The sequence below is a fragment of the Homo sapiens genome, chromosome 11, assembly GCF_000001405.40.
Source record: "Homo sapiens chromosome 11, GRCh38.p14 Primary Assembly".
Lineage (NCBI taxonomy): Eukaryota > Metazoa > Chordata > Mammalia > Primates > Hominidae > Homo > Homo sapiens.
The window spans coordinates 116526918-116537092 of NC_000011.10; the positions used below are offsets into that span (position 1 = coordinate 116526918).

Consider the following 10175-nt stretch of genomic DNA (forward strand, 5'->3'; position numbering starts at 1 on the left):
TTCCTCCTTGGGGAATTACCTATTCATCTGACTGCTTTTTTCTGAAGAGCATTACTGGGTTTTCTTGATTTGATGAATGCTTTATTTATTAAAGATACAGAATTCTTCATGTCATGTTTATTGAAAAAAAAAAGTCTCCAAGTTTATTGATTGCCCTTAAATCCTGCCTATACTGTTTGGACATTTAGAAGTTTTACCTTTTTATGTAGTTAAGCCTGTCCAGGCTGGGTGTACTGGCTCACATCTATAATCCCAACACTTTGGGAGGCCACAGTGGGAGGATCACTTGAGCCCGGGAGTTCAAGACCAGCCTGGGCAACATAGGAGGACCCCATCTCTACAAAAAAATTAAAAATTAGCTGGGCATGGTGGTGCATGCCTGTAGTCCCAGCTACTCGGGAGGCCAAAGTGGGAGGACCACTTAAGCCTGGGAGGTTGAGACTGCTGTGAGCCGTGATCACACCAGTGTGATCTCAGGACACAGTGGGAAGCGTGGCTGGGGCTGCACACTCCATAGAGCCAGTGGGAGCCCTGCCCCTTCTGAGTTGGAACAGGAGCTGCCTACACCACTGCAGCCTCCAAAACCACACCTGCAGACCCAGGCCTCCTGCTCTATGGAGTAGGCAGGAGCCCCACCCTTCTGAGCAGGGCTACAGACACCCAAACTGCAGCTGTGGATCGGAGCCTCCCTGTGCTCTTTGGGGAGAGCCACAAGCAGGCAAGATTTGCCTTCCCATGTTCCCAGGCACAGGAGCCAGGTGTCTCTGCAGCCTGCACCCTCGGGGGCCCCAGGAAGGACCTCTACACCCCCCACAACGCCCCATCCCTGTAGGTTCGGGGATGTTTGCTCCCACTGCCTGACCTCTTTCTGCTCCTGGGACCTGCTCCAATCTGGGAGTGGGGGCACCCCCGGGGCCATGAATGACAGCAGGTGGCAGATTGATTCCCGGATGGAAGAGAATGAGTCCCCAGTAAGGCCCCACCTTCAGGCCAGTAAGGGCCTGAAGGCTGAGGGCCAGGCTGCCAGTCCTGCCACCAGTGTGGGGGACTTGTGATACCTTTTCCAGGCAGTCCATGGCCGCCCATGGACCAATCAGCAATCACTCCCTCCCCTCTGAGGTCCATAAAAGCCATGGGCTCAGCCAGAGCAGAGCAGAGGACGACCAGAGGATGAAGAGGGCAGAGAGAGAATGGGAAGACCAGCTGCAGAGACGACCTGCCTGCAGAGAGGAGCTACCCTCTCCACTGAGAGCTTCAGAGATCTGTAGAAATGTCTGAAGGACCTGTCTGCAGAGAGGAGCTATCGTCTCTAGGGCCTCCTCTCTGCAGACAGCCGAACACTCCACTGGATGACCTCACTATAGAGAGGAGCTACTCACTCCTCTGAGCTGTTCTAACACTAAATAAAATTCTTCTTCTTCACCCTTCACTTCTCTACATAACTCATTCTTCCTGGACACAGGACAAGAACTTGGGCAGCTGGCACCACAGCCACAGAGGTACCTGGCCAGAAAAATCGACACCCCAGAGATCCTATAACAACTGTACTCCAGCCTGGGTGGCAGAGCAAGACTCTGTCTCAAAAGAAAAAAAAAAAGCCCGTCCGTTCTCTTGTATATGATTTCTACCGTTACTTTTAAGATTAGAAATGGGCTAGGGTTGGGCGCAGTGGCTCACACCTGTACTTCCGGCACTTTGGGAGGCAGAGGCAGGTAGATCACCTGAGGCCAGGTGTTCAAGACCGGCCTGACCAACATGGCGAAACCCCATCTCAACTAAAAATACAAAAATTAGCTGGGCATGCTGGCACATGCCTGTAGGCCCTGCTACTCAGGAGGTTGAAGCAGGAGAACTTCTTGAACCCGGGAGGCAGAAGTTGCAGTGAGCCAAGGTCACACCACTGCACTCCAGCCTGGGTTACAGAGCGATATTCCATCTCAAAAAAAAAAAAAAAAAAAAAATTTAAAAAAGAAAAGAAAAAAAAACAAATGGGTTAGATATTTATTCTATTTTTTCTATGACTTCATTTTTAGGTACATAAAATTGTGTAACTAAAATACATAGTTTGCACGTGTCATTCCTTTTAAAGTTAACTTCTTTATCCATATGAAGTGTATTCTTTTATATGTTATCTGAATGTATGTCTTCCTTCCCCTCTCCCCACCCCTAATAGCTAAGTAATTTTTCCCTGCATCTTTTATTTGTAACAAAGTGGGTAATTTTGTATTATTTTAACAGCTGGCATCAGAATTCCTCTTAGGGAAGAACTGTCACTGTTTGGAAAGTTCTCTTGATAAATGTGGGATAAAAGGTGAAGCCCACCCACTCACCCACCCCATCTCCACCCCACCAAAAGCACCAAACTTTGGATGAAGGGGAAGAGCTCCCTGCAAGAGACCTAGGAGGAATTTATCGTTCACATGAAAGGAAGTGTGAGAGGGAATCAAAATCAAGAAGGGAAGACGGGGAACATGAGCCAGAAAAGCAGTAGGAGGCTGGAATAAATCAACGGCAGTGAAGACATTGGGGATGTGGCACCTCATATGTACTTTAAAAGGTAATGCTTGTTGTGAAGACGAAATCTCTCTGTATTTCAGCAATATAAACCCCTCCCACCTCTGTCACACTCTTGCTCAAAACTGCTTGGGTGGGTGGATTTTTTTCAGCTGGAATTTCTTAGAAGATTGACAAAATGGAAGAAAAAAGTCACAAAGAAGTAATTTTTTAAAGAAGAACAAGGAAGAGTGATGTTCCCTCTCAGCTAATAGTACAAACCATGGCAATTGTTTCAGTCAGGACAGGCTAGATGGTGCAGAAACAAAAACCTCCAAGCACAATCATTTCAAAAAGCAAAGATTTGTTCCTTGCTCTTGTTGCACGTCCACAGTGGGTTGCCTGAAGGATCTGCTCTGCTTCTCCTCACTCCACAATCCAGGCCGACGGCACCTGCCCGACCTGGAGCATGGAGTTTGTCACAGCAGGGGAAGGGGACATGGAGAATTACACACTGGCTATAAAAGCTTCCTCCCAGAAGCGATATGTGTCACAGGCTCACATTTCATTGTCCAAATCAAGTCACATAGTTACATCTAACTCCAAGTGAACAGGAAAGTGCAAACCTACCATTTTCCTGAAAGACAGAAGAATTAAACTGTTTGTAAACCGTTCTAATAACTACCACAGTAATTTTTTTAAAAGAAAACTACAGAATGATCACAGGAACTGTGAACTGACAAACCAATAGAACAGAAGAGAGAACCTAGGACTAAAACATACAGGTGATGTGTGTGTGTGTGTGTGTGTGTGTGTGTGTGTGTGTGTGTTTAGATCAAGTATATGACATAGGTGAAATCACAAAGCCCTGGAGGAAAAGGCTTTGCTTAGTGTGTAGTGTTGAGAAGACTGGCTTAACATATAAATAAAATTAAAAACTTTACATCTCTCTTTCTGTTATATAAAAACCTAAACTAACCCCAGAAGATGAAGACCCTAAATGTGATATGTAAAACTCTAAAGCTAATGGAGGAAAAAGTAAAAAGAATATCTTTGTGACCTTGGTGTGGGAAGATTTCTATAATAAGACCCCAAGAGGTACAAACCATAAGGCAAAAAAGAAATAATGCATTTGACTAGAATAAAACTGAGGATTTCTGTTCACTGAAGGGTACTATAGAGTTAACAGTACTATAGAGAGGCAGGTGACCAACTAGGAAAAATTATTGCAACAACTAAGACAAAGAATATGTGCATAGCTAGCATATGTTAGGAACTCCTTCAAATCTACAAGAAATAGACAACTGAGGAATGGCAAAAGTATGACCAGACAATTCGCATATGGTAAAATCTGAAAAAGTCCTTCCCTACAACAGGTATGTGAAGAGATATACAACCACATAGTAATCAAGTAAATGTTAAAAACCAGTGAAGTACCCCTTTAAACCCATCAGCCTGGCAACAGTTAGAAAGCCAGATCACACTAAGTGTTGGAAAAAAATGTGGGGAAACAGGCACAGGGAGTTGGGGGCTGGGAGAGTCCACTGAAAGGGCTGTTGGCAGTTCTAAGGGAAACTGAGCACAGCCCAGCAAGCCCTCTCCTGGGGACAAACCTCAAATAAACTTCCACGAGATTCATAAAAGAACATGCTTAAAATTGTTCATCACTGCCAGGAATTTGAGGCAACTTGGGTGTCTGTCAGAACTGAGAGGAATCGAAAGCAGTATTTAGTGGGTGCATAGGCTGAAATACTATATAGCAAGCCAGAAGCAGTGAAATAGATGTCTGTACAGCAGCATGAATTAGTACTTAAAATAGGGTGGAGTGAAAAAGGTAAGAAACAGACCAAAATATATATACATGTATACACGTCTGTTTCTTACAAGAGATGGAGATGGAGATGGAGTTGGAGTTAGGGGTGGGAGTGAAATGGAGAGAAATAATGAAACAAAATAAAACAAATAGGGACCTTCATAGAGGAACGATGACAGTTTCCAAGTACTACCAGGAATGATTAGCTCAATTCTATGCACCTGCTGTCCAATAAGCAGAAGGAAAAAGAATACAACCCCTCAGAACCACTGGGCCACCTGAGTCTCCATTCTACTCCTATTCCATTGGCTAAAACAGCTTCTCGTACTTTTGCCTACAGATTCCTGGGCCCTACTCCCAGAGATTCCAATTCAGTGGGTCTGACATGGAGCCTGAGACTTTGCGCTCCTAGCAAGCTCCCGGCAATACTGATGCTGCTGTCCTCAGAACAATACCTTAACCAGCACAGAACTAGACCTCAGTCACAAAATCATACCTCACTGCAAGGGAGACTGGGACACGTAGTCTGATCTGTCCCAGGAAGAAGAAAGGTTTTGACACAACTAGCCAATGTCGGCCACACTGTCACATCCCCACTTTCCGAGAGGCTTCCATCCCTGACACTGTCTCCTTCCACATGACCGTATCCCTCTTCCCTACTAGATTATAAACTACACAAGGACAGGAATCAGTTGTGCTCCCTCTGCCTGGCCTAATGCCTAGCATATAGTAGAGACTCAGTAAATATGTGTTGATGCCAGGCTGAACATTTAAAGCTCTTGAGTAAGAAGGTGCTGATAAGAATCAGAGAGCCAGAAGAGGAATCTCCCCAGCAACAGGAAAGAGTGGCTCAGAAGGAGAGTAAAGGAAGCTTATGAAAAAGGAGGGTCTGGACTAGGAAGGCTGGAACGGGAAGGAAGGCTGCTGTCAGTCTCCCCACGTTGTGACATACTTAGTAAACTGAGTTACTTCCATCTACCACTCTCTCTGCCCCCGTCCCTTCCCCACGCCCGATCCTCTAGGTGGACAGAGCTCAGGAAGAGGAGGCAAGCAGTAGGACAGCAAGGGCAAGACCAACCGAGACTCCATAGACTCGCCTGGAATCGTTGGGAGATGTGATGGGGGAGGAATCATCTGAAATCAACACTCAGTCCTGGAGGTTCAGAGTGGATAACCAGGAATGGGTGAAGAACAAGTTGGATGCAAGCAAGGCCACACATGTGGGAGGAAGGGCAGGACTATATCTGGGGATGGGGGAAGGTCAGTTGACATTTGTCCCAGAAGCTCATTCTGCCCCTGCAACCTTCTTCTCTCTGTGCCTGGCCCTTGGTGCTTCTGCTTAAAGAAGAGAATGTGCAATAGGTGGAATGTTTGTGTTTCCCCACCCCAAGTTTCATATGTCGGAATTCCCAGGGGGATGGTATTAGGAATGGGGTCCTTGGGAGGCGATGAGGTCATGAGGGCTCCATCCTTACAAATGGGATTCGTTTCCTTATAAAAGAGACCCCAGAGAGCTAGCTAGCCCCTTTCACCATCTGAAGACACAGAAAGCAGAACCAGAAAGGGGCCCTTGTCAGACACTGAATCTGTCAGCATCTTGACCTTGCACTTTCTAGCCTCCAGAATTGTGAGAAATACAATTCTGTTCTTTAGACATCATCTCGCCTATGGTGTCCTGTGATACCAGCCTGAAGGAACTCAGACAGCATTAAACCAGGAGCCTGTTCTCATCGGGCCTGTGACCTTGGCCAAGTTACCATATCAACTTTGATCTTGGCCCCTATACCAATAAGGTGAAACCAAAAACCCTCTAAAACACATCTAAATGCTGAGATTCTAGGAGGTAATTTATACTTTCATGTAACTTATTTTGGTTCCTTTCCCTGATGTATTTTCCTCGTTAAGGGGTTGGGAGCCAGTAAGTTATTCTCATGGAGATAATTCATCTGTGGCAGCTCATGTGCAGGAAAGGTTACAAGGACCACAGTCCTCCCTCAATGATGTGGTCCGCTGGCCTGGGGAGGGTAGCTGTCTCCAGTCTATCCCAATCATACCTCCCTTTCCACAGTTCCCTGACAAGGGCTGTGACTCTCTCATGAAAGCCAAATTCTGCAAGAAAGCCAAATTCTCCCTGACACCGCAGCCTGGGCACAGAGGAGAGGACACAACTGAAACATGGCTCAATTTTCCAATTGCCACTGGGATTCAGGCCATAGAGAAAAGCCGTGCTTTATCATGCAGACCCTGGGGCCCGAGCGCCTGGACCTGGGGTGGAGGTGGGTCTGTGGTCTGTTCATCCTTCCATTCCCTCAGGGCTGCCGGCAACCAGGGCCCCCAGACTGAGGGATGGCGGAGCCCCCACTCCCGGGAGCCCCTATTCCCAACCCCAGACTGACCTCTCCCGGCCAGACCCCGCAAAGCAGTTTGGAAAGAGAAAGGGTGAGGCTGGCATCATTCTGTGCTCATTGTTTTTCTATCGCCTTCCTTTCAAAGAGAGGGAAGAAAGGGGACAAAGAGAAAATCAGAAGGAGTTCATTGGTCCTCCCACCCTCCAGCCTCCTGCCTCTCCCCCAGACTTCAGCTGCTGGCCTAAAATCACAAAGCCTTTTCGCTCAAAACCCAGAGAGAGAGGGGAAAAAAAAGAGGAAAGCAAAGGGAAGGGAAGGAGCAGCAGCGAATTTCAAAAGGAGGGCTAATTTGTGCAGGGCTGGACAGCTGCATTTGCATAATGAAATGTGCAGAGGATGTTTGGCTCATGTATTTTTTAGAAGGTTTAACTTTAATTTTATTTAGCCTGAGAAGGGCATGTCACTCAAACTCCGCTGGTCATTTATAAAAATATTTCAATTGTGTTTCCAAGGAGCTGTCTTTCTGGCCTAAGTGGCTGGTGTCGGAGGTTGTGAATGCTAATGCAGAGGTCGGGAGATCGGGAGATCGATGATGGGGAGGGAGAGAATGAGAGAGGAAAATGGGAGGGGTAGGGACACCAAGAAAGAGATGCCAACACAGAAGAAAGGATAAGGTGAGAGACAGATAAATGTGAAAGAGACAGGATTGTGGAGTGGGACAAAGGCCCCTGGCCTTCAAAAGAGGCAGGCCAGGTAAACATCCACCTCAGGAGAAAGGATGGGTGTTCCTAGTGGACCACACCTATCTCACACAGGTGGGCCCAGTTCTCGCAGCCCACAGGGTTTGGACCTTTTTTTTTTTTCCAAGACAAATATTCTATGACCAAACTGTCTTCCTTCCACCACGGGGCCGTGCGCGAGAAGCATTCTCTCCTATCTGTAACTCTGAATGCAGTGAAGGAGCTTAATTGTGGGCTGTTTGCGTTAGAGATCGGGAAGGGCGGGCTGAGCTTCCCTTTGCTGTGTACACTTCTTTCCTCCTGCCATTAAAGCAACAATTACCCTTCAACTCCCCTCCCTCATTTCCACCACAAACACTCCAGCCCCCTAAAGAAAACGTTCTTCAACTTTTAAGTCACGTTACAACATTGGCACACAGCAGAGAAGGCAGGGTAAGGAGGAATGGGAAGGGGCGGGAGCAGGATCTCCTCACCTCCCCGGCCTCCGCCGGCCTTGAAGTGCTTCAGAAAGACCCTAGACTCTCAGAGCCAAGCCAAGTCTCTGATGGACAGATTAGAAACTGAGGCCAGAGGAGGGAAGAAATTCCATGCCCCTGGTGGCCAGGACCTCCCAGGGTCCTGCTCTCCTGGCCAGAGCTCACAGATTCTCCTCCTCTCACTTATTCATCACCGAAAGCCTAGGCTCCCTCGGGTCCTTCTCTTGGTCCCCAAGGTCAGAAAAGAGATGAGCATCTGCTCCAGAAAATTCCACCACAGCAAAACTATTCAGATCTTGTAGGGTTCTCCCTGACGAGCTGTCCAATCTGAATTTTCAGCCCTGATTTCCATCTGTGGACACAGCCTGGGGCTCAGGCATTCTGCATCTGGGGACACCTCCGAAGGTCCCAGTCTTGGAGATCACAGTGCCGGATCCCAGCTATGGTGCTGAGGGCCACGCTAGGATGCCCCACAGGAAGTACCCCAATCCCCACTACAAAAATAAAAATAAAAATTACACACACAGCCAGGATAGCCTAGGGCTGATAGCCCAACTCCCAGATTTCATGGACTTGGCCTTGGGTGGGGATTGTGGGAGGACGGTTCATACACATGAGATGCAGCCTGCGAACGCAGGGGATTTGGAGCTGGGCCACTCTGGGTTCAAATTCGCTTGAGCTAATCACTGGAGAAAGTCACCTAACTTCTCCGACGCTCAGTTTCTTCCTCTGTAAAAAGCAGGAGAAGACCATCTACCTGTCACACTGTTGTGGGGTTTCAACATCATGCACTCTAATCGGCTAGGAACCTGATGGCAAGAGGGTTTGAACTGCTGTCTGTTGGGTACATGGATGGAGAGACCACACGGGAAAAGCCCCCAGTCCCGGGCACCTGAGGAGACAGGAACAGAGAAGGAGAGCAGAGCCAGAAGAATGCCTCCCCGACAAATAGCTACTGGTTTCTTATTATTTGGGTTGGCCCTTATTACTAAAAGTGCTTTGAGGAAGACTCTAGAATCAGAGACTGCTGGGAACCAATGGGGTAGCAACAATCTACTGCAAAACTCTCATTTGGAAGATAAGAAGACTAACACCCAGAGAAGGTGTGAATAGCCTCAGGTCATACAGCTGGTCTACACAGAACCAAGTCTTGAACACGCTCTCCAGGTTCCTGCCTTCCTCCCTCTCCCTTGAGCTAACAACACTGACAGCTTCTGGTGGGTAAAAGAGCCCACCACAACCTGTACCCTATCCAAGTCTCAGGAAAGGGCCTGAGTGGCTTGCAGCCCACCAGTTCCCAATGCACAGACAGAGGGGGCAGCTGAGACCAAACTGGGATGGGAGAAGAGCTAGGGGAGGGGCTGGCGCTGGCCACCGCAGCCCCATGGGAGGCGCCTGCATATGGCCAGCCAGGCTTGGCAGCCCGTGCGCGCTAATCCTGCTGTCAGCCAAGCTGGGCGCTGGATTAGGAAATGTCACGTTTCAAAGGAAATTATTTCCATTTTCTCCCCAGGAAGGGAAAAGGCAGAAAGACAAGCAAACTCCAGGGTCATGCATTGGGAGACCGGCCAGCATATGGGGGCCTTGGACAGGCAACTGTCCTCCTCCTCCTCCAGCCCCTCTGCAGATACCCAGAAGTGACAGCAACCACCTCACCCAGCTCATCTCACCCAAGGACAAATGGATGTCACAGTTTATCAAGGGAGGAAGGGGCATGTCACTGGCTCATCAGCCATGACCCACCTATGGTCTCTGCTTTCCCCACCCCGGTCATAGCCACAGTTTCCCACCTGCCCAAGCCCCCTCACTCAGCTGGCTCCTGGGCCAGGCCTCCTGGGATCAGCACATCTGCAAGAAGGGTCGCCTTTGACCTTCTGTGCGGGTGCCTGAAGCTCTGCCTGTGGCCCAGCCCTGAGACCCTGCCTCTTATCCAGGGCTCCACTCTGCAGGCAAAACAGAAAACCTCAAGACCCAGAGAGTGAAATAATTACCTTCTCCCTTCCTGGATTCCCCTCTCTCTATGACTTTTCTGCTTGTCTTTCTCCCCACTGCCTCATCTGAGACAATAATAAACACTTCTCATTCTCGCTGCCACCGGAAATGGTGGGGCTTCTTAATTACAAAAGTAATGTCACAATATTAGCAATTAATTAATTCTAATCTGGCCTGGAAGAGAGGTCGAGGATACAATCACCCCCTTATGCCTCTGGAGCCAAGGACCAACCCGACAGATATTGTGATTGAAATATATTCGTATGGAGTTATTAGATACTATCTGCAATCAATCCATTACCATAACCTTAAG

At 48.1% G+C, this 10175-nt stretch overlaps 2 annotated features.

Annotated features, from left to right (window-relative positions):
* Positions 8928-9428: an enhancer, noted in NCBI's record as "H3K4me1 hESC enhancer chr11:116406562-116407062 (GRCh37/hg19 assembly coordinates)". NCBI's record gives its function as "activates a minimal SCP1, AML or CMV promoter by ChIP-STARR-seq in naive H9 embryonic stem cells {active_cell/tissue: H9 hESC(naive)}" and the evidence as "EXISTENCE:reporter gene assay evidence [ECO:0000049][PMID:30033119]".
* Positions 9429-9929: an enhancer, noted in NCBI's record as "H3K4me1 hESC enhancer chr11:116407063-116407563 (GRCh37/hg19 assembly coordinates)". NCBI's record gives its function as "activates a minimal SCP1, AML or CMV promoter by ChIP-STARR-seq in naive H9 embryonic stem cells {active_cell/tissue: H9 hESC(naive)}" and the evidence as "EXISTENCE:reporter gene assay evidence [ECO:0000049][PMID:30033119]".